This window comes from Homo sapiens, chromosome 7 (genome assembly GCF_000001405.40).
Source record: "Homo sapiens chromosome 7, GRCh38.p14 Primary Assembly".
In the NCBI taxonomy this organism is placed as follows: domain Eukaryota; kingdom Metazoa; phylum Chordata; class Mammalia; order Primates; family Hominidae; genus Homo; species Homo sapiens.
The window spans coordinates 55,800,277-55,813,391 of record NC_000007.14 but is presented as its reverse complement, the minus strand read 5'-3'; the positions used below and the strand labels follow the sequence as shown (position 1 = coordinate 55,813,391).

Here is a 13,115-nt window from a genome sequence, read left to right as displayed (position 1 = left end):
GGGCCTGATTGCCTTTCAGATTTATTCAGGACCCCAGGGCACTTTAATTAACTAGTGGTGGAGGTAGCTGGAACTTAAGTTCCTATCTATCTCTGGCATGGGGTATTCCTCTTTAGTGGGAGCTAGGTTAAATGCTCCCTTTGGCCAGGAGTGGTGGCTTACACCTATAGTCCCAGCACTTTAGGAGGCCAAGGCGGGTGGATCACCTGAGGTCAGGAGTTCAAGACCAGCCTGACCAATATGGTGAAACCCTGTCTCTACTAAAAATACAAAAATTAGCTGGGCATAGTGGTGTGCAGCTGTAGTCCCAGCTACTTGGGAGGCTGAGGCCGGAGAATCACTTGAACCTGCGAAGTGGAGGTTGCAGTAAGCCGAGATTGCGCCACTGCACTCCAGCCTGCGTGAAAGAGCGAGACTCCATCTAAAAAAAAAAAAAAGGCTCCTGTCGTGGGCACTAGCAGAATTCTGCCCTATGTTGTGTAGCACTGTGGCAGGGCAGTCACTGAGTTCCAATGCAAAGTCCCACAATCACTTCACTCTCCCTCCCCAAAACACACAGATTCTCTCTCTGTTTAGTATGGTGCTGCTGGGGGATGAATGTCAGATGGCATAGGCTATGCAAGACTCTCTTTACTATAATCGTCAGTGCCTCTTTTCTTGATATAATATTAAAATCAGGTACTATGATTGCTCACCTGATTTTTCATCCTTATGAAGGTGTTTTCTTGCATGGATATTTGTTCAATTTGGTGTTTATGTAGGGGGATGACTGATGAGAGGTTCTATTCAGCTACCTTGCTCCACCCCACTCCCCATTTTAGCAATTTTGAAATATACAGTAGCTTATTATTAACTGTAGTCACCATACAGTGCCGTAGATCACTGAAGCTTATTCCTCCAGTCTAACTAAAACTTCGTACCGTTTGATCAATATTTTCCATTTCCTCATCCCTCAGTCTCCCCACTTTCCTCCAGTCACCACCTGTCTACTCTCTATTTCTGTGAGATTGACATTTTTAGTTACCACATATAAGTGAGATTATGCAGTATTTGTCCTTCTGTGCCTGGTTTATTTCTCTTAGCATAATGTCCTACAGTTTCATTCAGGTTTTACACATGACAGGATTTCATTCTTTTTAAAAGCTCTATAGTATTTTATTGTGTATCTTGTTGATGGGCATTTAGATTAGATTGCTTCCATATCTTAGCTATTGTGAATAATGCTGAAAAATAAAATGCTTAGGAATAAATCTAAACAAGGAAGTAAAATACCTGCACACTAAGAACTGTAAAACTTGGCCAGACACGGTGGCTCATGCCTGTAATCCCAGCACTTTGGGAGGCTGAGGCGGGTGGATCACTTGAGGCCAGGAGCTTGAGACCAGCGTGGCCCACATGGCAAAACCCCATTTCTACTAAAAATGCAAAAACTTAGCCATGTGTGGTGGCGGGCGCCTGTAATCCCAGCTTCTCAGGAGGCTGAGGCAGGAGAATCACTTGAACCTGGGAGGCGGAGGTGGCAGTGAGCCGAGATTGCACCACTGCACTCCAGCCTGAGTGACAGAGCGAGACTCTGTCTCAAAAAAAAAAAAATGCTGGGTGCGGTGGCTCACACCTGTAATCCCAGTGCTTTAGGAGGCTGAGGTGGGCAGATCACCTGAAGTCAGGAGTTCAAGACCAGCCTGGCCAACATGGTGAAACCCCTTCTCTACTAAAAAACAGAAAAACCAGGCGTGGTGGTGCATGCCTATAGTCTCAGCTACCTGGGGGGCTGAGGCAGGAGAATCACTTGAACCTGGGAGGCGGAGGTTGCAGTGAGCTGAGATCACACCACTACACTCCAGCCTGGGCAACAGAGCAAGACTCCATCTCAAAAAAAAAAAAAAAAAAAAAAAGAACTGTAAAACTTGATTTAAAATTGGAGAAGAGTTTGCCTTCCTTCCCCATCTCCATCGCTCCCTGCAGCCTCCACCCAACACCATGGCTCCTAGAAAGGGCAGTAGTTGGGTGGCCAAGACCAACTCCTTAGGGAGGTGGAAGCTCGCCTCCTTTCTTAAAGACTTCGACTGCAAAGTGGAAATACGAATCAAGCCAATTGAGTCTGACAGGCAGAACCTCTTCAAGGAGGTGGATAAACTCTACAACATCCAGATCCTGCGGCTCCCCAAGGCACTGCGCAAAGATGAATGGCATGAATGGCTCAACTACTTCTCCCTTGGAGGAAACAAACAGGGCTTGGAAGAGGCAGCAACAGCTGACCTGGATATCACCGCGGGAGCTATTCAAACACCCCTGACATCTGCTGAAACACGAAAGGTGATACAAGTAGATGAAATGATAGTGGAAGAGGAAGAAGAAGAAAATAAACATAAGAATCTTCAAATTGCAACAGTCAAAAGATGTCCTGCATCCAAGAACAGAACTCAGTCTGTACAAGGAAAAGGCAGAAGGGAAAGGTCAAGCTGTGCTATCACTGTTACCCTAGTTTTGGGCTTATTGGATGTGTCCATAGTGAAGCCAACTCCAGGCCTGACACCCAGGTTTGACTCGAGGGTCTTCATGATCCCTGGTCTGTGCACTCCTGCCACAGGAGAGCGGATTTATAACAAAAGCTGGCAGGGTGCAGTGACTCACACCTGTAATCCCAGCACTTTGGGAGGCTGAGGCGGGTGATCACCTGAGGTCAGGAGTTTCAGACCAGCCTGACCAACATGGTGAAACCCTGTCTCTACTAAAAATACAAAAATTAGCTGGGCATGTTGGTGGGTGCCAGTAATCCCAGCTACTCGGGAGGGAGGCTGAGGCAGGAGAATTGCTTAAACCCGGGAGGCAGAGGTTGCAGTGAGCCAAGATCGTGCCATTGAACTCCAGCCTGGGTGACAGAGCAAGACTCTGCCTCAAAAAAAAAAAAAAAAAGAACTTCAAAAACACCAGCAACAAAACCAAAAGAAACAATTTAATAGCATAAAGATACAACCTAGAGATTGGAAAAAATATTTGCAACTTATACATCTGATAAGGGGCAAATGTCCAAAATATATAATATTTTTGATATTACTCTAACAACTCAATAGCAAGAAAACAAATAACACAAGGAAAAATGGGCAAAGGATCTGAACAGGCATTTCTCAAAAGAAGAAATACAAATGGCAAAAGAAATATGAAAAAAATAGCATCTCTAAAACATCAGGAAAATGCGAATTAAACACATGATGAAGTATCACTTCATGTCTTTTAGAATGACTATTATCAAAAAGACAGGCCGGGCGCAGTGGCTCACACCTGTAATCCCAGCACTTTGGGAGGCTGAGGCAGGTGGATCACGAGGTCAGGAGATGGAGACCATCCTGGCTAACGCGGTGAAACCCTGTCTCTACTAAAAATACACAAAATCAGCCTGGCGTAGTGACGGGCGCCTGTAGTCCCAGCTACTTGGGAGGCTGGGGCAGGAGAATGGCGTGAACCCAGGAGGCAGAGCTTGCAGTGAGCCGAGATTGCGCCACTGCACTCCAGCCTGGGCAACAGAGTGAGACTCTGTCTCAAAAAAAAAAAAAAAAAGACAAGCCATTACAAGTGCTGGCAAGCATATGGAGAAGAGAGAATTCTTTTTTTTTTTTTTTTAATTTTTATTTTAGGTTCAGGGGTACATGTGCAAATTTGTTATATAGATAAATTGCATGTCATGGGGGTTTGGTGTAAAAGATTATTTCATCACAGAGATAATTAGCATAGTACTGGCTGGAGCAGTGGCTTGAGTCTGTAATCCCAGCACTTTGGCAGGCTGAGGCACGTGGATCACCTGAGTTCAGGAGTTCAAGACTAGCCTGACCAACATGGCAAAACCCCGTCTCTACTAAAAAATACAAAAATTAGCCAGGTGTGGTGGCGCGCTCCTGTAATCCCAGCTACTTAAGAGGCTGAAGCAGGAGAATCACTTGAACCCAGGAAGTGCAGGTTGCAGTGAGCCGAGATCGTGCCATTGCACTCCAGCCTCAGCAACAGAGCGAGATTCCATCTCAAAAAAAAAAAATTGCTCACTTTAGCAGCACATATACTAACCAAAAAAAAAAAAAAAAAAAAAAGTAAGCATAGTAGCTTTTCTGTCCTCACTCTCCTCCCACCCTCCACCCTCAAGGAGGCCCCAGTGTCTGTTGTTCTCCCCTTTGTGTCTATGTGTTCTCAATATTTATCTCCTACTTATAAATGAGAGTATGTGGTATTTGGTTTTCTGTTCCTGCATTACATCACTTAGGATAATGGCTTCAGCTCCATTCATGTTGCTGCAAAGGACACGATCTTGTTCTTTTTTTATGGCTGTGTAGTATTCCATAGTGTATATGTTCATTTTCTCTATCCAGTCTACCATTGATGGGCATTTAGATTGATTCTATGTCTTTGTTATTGTGAATAGTGCTGCAATGAACATACACGTGCCTGTGTCTTTATGATAGAACAATATATATTCCTTTGGATATAAACCTGGTAATGGGATTACTGGGTCAAATGGTAGTTCTGTTTTAACTTCTTTAAGAAATTGTCAGGCCGAGCGTGGTGGCTCATGCCTGTAATCCCAGCACTTTGGGAGGCTGAGGAGAGTGGATCACCTGAGGTCAGGAGTTCGAAACCATCTTGGTCAACATGGTGAAACTCCATCTTTACTAAAAATACAAAAATTAGCTGGGCCTGGTGGTGGACTTCTGTAATCCCAGCTACTTGAGAGGCTGAGGTTGGAGAATCACTTGAACCCAGGAGGCGGAGGTTGCAGTGAGCTGAGGTCGCACTGCTGCACTCCAGCCTGGGTGACAAAAGCGAAACTCTGTCTCAAAAAAAGAAAAAAAGAAATTATCAAACTACTTTTCACAATGGCTGAACTAATTTATATTCCCACCAGCAGTGTATATATATTTCTAAGAAAAAAGGGAATTCTTAAACATCATTGGTGGGAATTTAAGTTGGTACAGCCATTTTGGGAAATAATATGAAGGTTCCTCAAAAACTAAAAATAGTATTACTGTATGATCCAGCAGTACCACTACTGGGTATGTACCCTAGTGGAATGAAATTGATCTGTCAAAAGACATGTGCACTCACATTTTTATTTCAGTCTTTTAAAATATGTTAAGACTTATTTTGTGGCCTAACATATGATCTATCCTGAAGAATGTCTTGTGTTTGTTTGAGAAAAATGGGTATTACTTTGCTGTTGGATGAAATATTCCACATATGTCCATTAGGTCTATTTGGTCTAAAGTGTAGTTTAAATCTGATATTTTCTTACTGATATTCTGTCTGGATAATCTATCCATTGCTGAAAGTAGGGTATCTAAGTCCCTTACTATTATTGTAATACAGTCTATCTCCCCCTCAGGTCTGCTAATATTTGCCTTATATATTTAGAAGTTGTGATATTGGGTGCATATATATTTACAATTGTTATTTTTTTAATGAACTGACCTCTTCATCATGATATGATGACCTTCTTTATATCATTTTACAGTTTTTGACTTAAAGTCTATCTTCTGTGATAGGAGTATAGCTTTCCGTGCCTTCTCTTTTAGTTTCTAATTGCATGAAATATCTTTCCGTGTCTTCACTGTCAGTCTGTATGTATCATTAAAACAGCTATGTGAATTTGTTGATTGATTTTGAATATTGACTAACGGTGTCTCCTAAATATGATATATAAATGGAAATATGTAACTAAAGTATTTTCAATTGTAAGGCCTTTTTGCTAGCAGAATTTACTCTGATAAAATTATTTACACTAGTGATGTTATATTACATATTCTGTTAGCACTCCAAAATACCCAGAGGTAGTTTATAACATACTACACAATTGTTAATAAAAACCTATGGCATATATGCACATAAAATATTATTTCACTATTTCCTGCTTATTCTTCAGGTAATAAGTTTAAAGCAAATTTGCTAACCTATAAATAATCTCTGCCTATGGTTGGTATGTATAGTACAACCACACTTACATGCTTAAAAGAATTATAGCTATTAATCAAATTGTTCAGTTGTGTGTTATTTTAAATGTGTTTTTTATTCATGTATTCATTCATGAACACTTACTGATTGTCAGGGATTGATACTGAATGTTGTTGATTCATTATTATTTTTTTACTAGTGGAAAATGAAAATCACTGTGACTTCGTTAAGCTCCGAGATATGCTTCTTTGTACCAATATGGAAAATCTAAAAGAAAAAACCCACACTCAGCACTATGAATGTTATAGGTACCAAAAACTGCAGAAAATGGGCTTTACAGATGTGGGTCCAAACAACCAGCCAGTTAGGTGAGTAAAAATATTGCTAGCACAACCAAATGGATAATTTAGGAGTCCCTACAAACACAAGGTATGATAATTTGGATATGAGAATAATTATACTTCTCCCATCTTGAGCCATCATAAAGAAAACACCTGAATGTTAGGTGTTTTTATGATCTTTTGACGAAGGTAGAGATAGTAGGAACAATATAATGCGAGATCTCATTTTTATGCTGAAATATGTGTATTCAATATGTATATATGCTGAAATGTATATTGATGAAAAAACCCAGTATTTTGTTCCATTTTTTGTATTTATATGAAATGTATCTGTATTATGTGAAAGAAAGGATAGGCCGGGCGCTGTGGCTCATGCCTGTAATCCCAGCACTTTGGGAGGCTGAGGCGGGCGGATCATCTAAGGTCAGGTATTTGAGAGCAGCCTGGCCAACATGGTAAAACCCTGTGTCTACTAAAAATACAAAAAGTAGCCGGGCATGGTGGCACACGCCTGTATCCCAGCCACTTGGGAGGCTGAGGCAGGAGAATCGCTTGAACCCTGGAGGCGGAGGTTGCAGTGAGCTGAGATCACCTCACTGCACTTCCAGCGTGGCGGACTGAGCAAGACTCCATCTTAAAAAAAAAAAGAAAAAAAAAGAAAGGATAAAGAAAAAGATGGAAAAATATTAGCAAAGTTTGACAAAAGACATTAAGAAGAGTTTGATGGAGGAACCAGCTGAAAAGCAGTAGTGCAGCATCCTGGAAGTTAAATGAGAAAAGTTTGAGAGCAGGTGTTTGCTCTAACTTGAAGAATAGAGCCGGGTGCAGTGGCTCCCGCCTGTAATCCCAGCACTTTGGGAAACCGAGACAGGCAGATTACCTGAGGTCAGGAGTTTAAGATCAGCCTGGCCAACATGGTAAAGCTCCGTCCCTACTAAAAATACAAAAAAAATTAGCTGGGCGTGGTGGCGGGTGCCCGTAATCCCAGTTAACTCGGGAGGCTGAGGCAGGAGAATCGCTTGAACCTGGGCAGCAGAGATTGCAGTGAGCTGAGATCGTGCCACTGCACTCCAGTCTGGGCGACAAAGAGAGACTCTGTCTCAAAAAAAAAAGAAGAATAGGACTTGTGTTGCAAAAACATGGCACTGTAGTGTATATAATCTAGTTATATCATTCATTGTTCTTTGTAGACACCCAAAATTTAACTATCTTAAATGAATGATGATATTTTGAAAGACTTTTTGCTTTATTTTAGAGGATTTTTGAAAATCGTCTCATACATTAGAGGTTTCCCTGAATGTTATTGTCAAAAGATATGAAAATGTATGATATCCTGGAAAGTGGTGGGGATAAGAATTCACTCATATAAGTGTTGGAAAATTCTAGTATTCTTTACATATACTGTCTATATACTCTGATCTTAAGTATTGTGCCTTGGTTTTTACATCTTATGATATGGAAATTTCCATTTTGTGCTGCTAAACATGAGAGAATGTTGGTAAATTTCCTTATATAGGATGTAACATACAATATATATTTTTTACATGTTTATACTAGTGTGTTTTTATTTTTCATTTTATTTTATTTTTTTATGATGGAGTCTTACTCTGTCTCCCAGGCTGACGTGCAGTGGCACGATTTTGATTCTCTGCAAACTCCGCCTCCTGGGTTCAAGCGATCCTCCTACCTCATTTTAATATAAGACTAAGAAAACATTTCTCTTTAGTTTTCAAGAAATCTTTGAAGCCAAAAGACAAGAGTTCTATGATCAATGTCAGAGGGAAGAAGAAGAGTTGAAACAGAGATTTATGCAGCGAGTCAAGGAGAAAGAAGCAACATTTAAAGAAGCTGAAAAAGAGGTTAGTACTGACAGTTTGATATAATTTGTATTAATTTTTAGGTGCCCTATTAATTTGGGGGTTTTAATCTCAAGAGTTTACTTGATGTTTTTGGAGGATACTTGCTATTTTTCAAAAAGTAGCTTTTTACCATGTAGACTTGAATATAGCCTTTACAAAATTATAGTCTGTAGTGTTTTTTCTAGAGAACTTAATTTTCCCATTTAAATAACCCTGAAGATAATTTTATAAAAATTATGTTTTATTTATAATTTAAATTTTCATGCATAAAGTTTAATTTGTGACAAACCCAAGCTATTTACTCTGAGAAGAGTCTTGTACTGTCTAATGCTATTAATGCACTAGAAAATTGTCTTCACTTTTATAAAAAGCAAATGTTGACTAATGCTGGCCTTGATTAATGAGAAAATTTTAAGTTGGTAAATTATGTTATTCCATGCCATTTCTAATAAAATGGGGAAAAAAGCTATTAATATCGTTTTAATTATTTGCCACAAATACGTTTTTGGTGAAGACATATTTTTGAAACCATAATTTCTTTCTCTCAAGTGTAGGTGGCTTTAGTTTAAGAACATTTAGTTTAATTAGGTAAATTGGAACATAAACTTCCTTTTTCATAAGAACAGAATAGTAGTAATTAGGTGCTATAGGCCAGATGTCTCATTCAAAGACAGTTGAATTATAAGTAATAAAAATTCCAGCCGGGTGCGGTGGCTCACACCTATAATCCCAGCACTTTGGGAGATGGAGGCGGGCGGATCCCCTAAAGCCAGGAGTTCAAGACCAGCCTGGCCAACGTGGTGAAACCCCGTCTCAACTAAAAATATAAAAATTAGCTGGGCATGGTGCTGCATGCCTATAATTCCAGCTACTCGGGAGGCTGAGGTAGGAGAATCGCTTGAACCCAGTAGGTGGAGGTTGCAGTGAGCCGAGATGGTGCCACTGCCTCCAGCCTGGGCGAGAGTGAGACTCCGTCTCAAAAAAAAAAAACAAAAAAAACCAAACCATTAGCTTAGGTATAAAGGAAAAAGTTTGGATGTATACAAGGGTACGTCATGACATCTAAGGACAAGAGACATAGCTGGATCTCATGAAGACTTTTTTTTTTTTTTTTTTTTTTTTTAGACAGAGTCTTGCTCTGTTACCCAGGTTGGAGTGCAGTGGCGCGATCTGGGCTCACCGCAAGCTCCGCCTCCTGGGTTCACGCCATTCTCCTGCCCCAGCCTCCCGAGTAGCTGGGTCTACAGGCGCTCACCACCGTGCCCAACTAAATTTTTTTTTTTTTTTTTGTATTTTTAGTAGAGATGGGGTTTCACCGTGTTAGCCAGGATGATCTCGATCTCCTGACCTCGTGATCCGCCTGCCTCGGCCTCCCAAAGTGCTGGGATTACAGACATGAGCCATCGCGCCTGGCCTCATGAAGACTTAAACCAAAACTAGGAAGTGACCAGAAACCGAAGCAACCATTTAAATTTTCTCTTTCTCTCCCACCTCACTTCCCTTAGTTATGAACCTTATTCCTGTACGTCTGCTTCTTTTTTCTTTCTCTCTGGAGATTAGTTTCTTTTCCATATCTCAACTATGTGTTCTCTTAGGGTTGATTACATGTCTTGATTATTGTCAATTAATGCTGCAATAAACATGAAAGTGTAGATATCTCTTTGACATACTGATTTTATTTCCTTTGAACACATAACTATTAGTGGGGTTGCTGAACCATATGGTTATTCTATTTTCAGTTGCTTAATGAATACCCATATTTTTCATAATAGCTGTACTGATTTACTTTTTTATCATTGTTTTATAAAATTATTCTTATAAACACTTACCTTTTTTTGTAAATACTTATCTTTCTATAAAATCATTCTTGTAAACACTTATCTTTCTGTTTTTCTAACAGATATGAGGTGCCATCTAATTGTGGTTTAAATTGGCATTTCTCTGATGATTAATGAGGTTGAATATTTTTTTCATATCCCTATTTGCCTTTTATGTCTTCTTTTAAAAAATGTTCAGGTTCAGCCGGGTGCAGTGGCTCTCGCCTATAATCCCAGCACTTTGGGAGGTGGAGGTGGGCGGATCATTTGAGGTGAGGAGTTAAAGACCAGCCTGACCAACATGGTGAAACCTTGTCTCTATTAAAAATACAAAAATTAGCCAGATGTGGTGGCACACGCCTGTAGTCCCAGCTAATCGGGAGGCTGAGGTAGGAGAATCACTTGAACCCGGGAGGTAGAGGTTACAGTGAGCCCAGATTGCACCACTGCACTCTAGCCTGGGCAGCAGAGTGAGACTCCATCTCAAAAAAAAAAAAAAAGTTCAGTTTCATTGCCCATTTTCGGAATGAGGTTTTCATACTATTGAATTATTTGAGTTCTTGTATATTTGGGGCATTAACCCCTTATCAGATGTACAGTTTGCAAATATTTTCTCACATTTCATAGTTTGTTTCTTTAGTCTGTTGATTTTTTTTTTTGGCTGTGCAGGAGCTTTTTAGTTTGATATAATTTTATTTGTCCATTTTTGCCTATGTTGTCTATGCTTTGGAGTTTGTATCCAAAAAAATCATTGTCAGACCCAAGTTAAGGAACTTATCCCTAATTTTTTAAAGTAGTTGTACAGCTTTAGATCTTATAGCGGTTAAGTCTTTCATCCATTTTGAGTTGAGATTTACATATGTTTTGAGATAAAGATCTAATTTTTTTTTCTGCATGTGGTCACATTTATTGATTTGTGTATTTGAATCATCCTTGCATTCCAAGAATAAATTCCACTTGGCCATCTGATATTTAATGTGCGATCTAATTCAGTTTGCTAGTATTTTGTTGAGGATTTCCTAGTTGGCTCATCACAAATGTTGGCCTATAATTTTTTTTTCTCATAGTGTCCTCTTCTGGCTGTAGTATCAGAGTAATAATGTCTTCTTCGAATGCATTTAGAAGTGTATTCTCCTGGCCAGGCGAGGTGGCTCATGCCTGTAATCCCAGCACTCTGGGAGGCCGAGGCAGGCAGATCACGTCAGGTCAGGAGTTCAAGACCAGCCTGGCCAACTTGGCGAAACCCCATCTCTACTAAAAATATAAAAATTAGCCGGGCGTGGTGGTGTGCGGCTGTAATCCTGGCTACTCAGGAGGCTGAGGCAGGAGAATCGCTTGAACCCAGGAGGTGAAGGTTGCAGTGAGCTGAGATCGCACCACTGCACTGCACTCCAGCCTTGGAGACAGAGCAAGACTCCGTCTCATAGAAAAAAAAAAAAAAAGAAACCATACTCTCCTCTTCCATTCTTTGGAAGACTTTGGGAAGTATTTTTGTATTTTTCCATTTTATTTATCTATTTAAGACAAGATCTCGCTGTGTCACCCAGGCTGGAGTGAAGTGGCACGATCTCAGCTCATTGCAACTTCCACCTCCCAGGCTCAAGTGATCCTCCCACCTCAGCTTCTCGAGTAGCTGGGACCGCAGGCATGTACCACCGTGCCTGGCTATTTTTTTGTACTTTTAGTAGAGATGGGGTCTCACTATGCTGCCCAGGCTGGTCTCGAACTCCTGAGTTCAAGTGATCTGCCCACCTCAGCCTCCTAAACTGCTGGGATTGCAGGCATGAGCCACTGCACCTGGCCTATTATTTCCATTTTAAATGTTTTGTAGCCTTCCCCAGTAAAGTCACCTAGTACGGCCTTTTCTTTGGTAGCATTTTTTGTTACTGATTAAATCTCCTTACCTATTAGTAGTCTTTTCAGATTTTCAGTTTCTTCATGATCCAGTCTTCGTAGATCGTGTGGTTATAAGAATTTATTAACCAAGGATATCCAATTTCTTTTTTAGGTTATCAAATTTTGTTGGCTTATAATTTTTCATAGTAGTCTCATGATCATTTGTATTTCTTTGGTGTCAGTGGTTATGTGTCACCTTTCATTTCTGATTTTATTTGTTTGAGTTTTCTCTCTTTTTTTCTTAGTTTTTCTAAGGGTTGTTCATTTATTTATCTTTTTAAAAAACACTTAGTTCATTGATTTTCTTCTATTGTTTCTCTAGTCTATATCTTATTTATTTCTGCTGTGATTTTTACTATTTTCTTGCTTTTACTGACTTTGCGCTTGGTTTGTTTTTCTTTTTCTTTTGAGGTGTGAAATTACATTATTTAATCTATTTTTTCTTAATATAGGCATTTATTGCAATAAACTTCACTCTTAAACTGCTTTTGCTGTATCCCATAACTATTGATATGTTGTTTTTTATCTTCATTTGTGTCAAGAGATGTATATTTTTTAATTTTTAATTTCTATGGGTACCTAGTAGGTATACATATTTATGGGGTACGATAGATATTTTGATATAGGCATACAATGTGTAATAATCACATCAAGTTAAATGGGATATCTATCCCTTCAAGCATTTGTCCTTTGTGTTACAAGAAATCCAATGATACTCAGTTATTTTAAAAGGTACAATTAAATTATTATTGTGTATAGTGACCCTGTTGTGCTATCAAATACTGCGTCTTATTTATTCTTTCTAACTATATTTTTGTACCAAGAAATGTCCTCACTTCCCCCCACCCCTACCACCCTTCCCAGCCTCTGGTAATCATCATTTCATTCTCTATCTCCATGAGTTTAATTTTTTTTTTTTTTGAGACAAAGTCTCGCTCTGTCACCCAGGCTGGTGTGCGGCTGTGGGATCTCAGCTCACTGCAACCTCTGCCTCCTGGGTTCAAGCGATTCTCCTGCCTCAGCCTCCCAAGTGGTTGGGATTACAGGCATGTGCCACCACACCCAGCTAATTTTTGTATTTTTAGTAGAGATGGAGTTTTACCATGTTGGCCAGGCTGGTCTCAAACTCCTGACCTCAGGTGATCCACCTGCCTCAGCCTCCTGAAGTGCTGGGATTACAGGTGTGAGCTACTGCGCCTGACTGAGTTCAATTATTTTAATTTTTAGCTCCCACAAGTAAGTGAGAACGTGTGAAGTTTATCATTCTG

The 13,115-nt window shown here is 40.0% G+C and overlaps 1 protein-coding gene and 1 pseudogene across 1 annotated transcript in view; both read left to right on the top strand.

Annotated features, from left to right (window-relative positions):
- Positions 1-13,115, top strand: part of SEPTIN14 (septin 14) — a 69,213-nt gene that overhangs the window by 49,361 nt on the left and 6,737 nt on the right. Inside the window, exons 8-9 of the mRNA NM_207366.3 lie at positions 6,134-6,302; positions 8,002-8,134. Coding sequence (NP_997249.2) covers positions 6,134-6,302; positions 8,002-8,134 — 302 coding nt within the window. The remainder of the gene's footprint in view (positions 1-6,133; positions 6,303-8,001; positions 8,135-13,115) is intronic.
- LOC100420540 (cell division cycle associated 8 pseudogene) lies at positions 1,931-2,608 on the top strand (annotated as a pseudogene).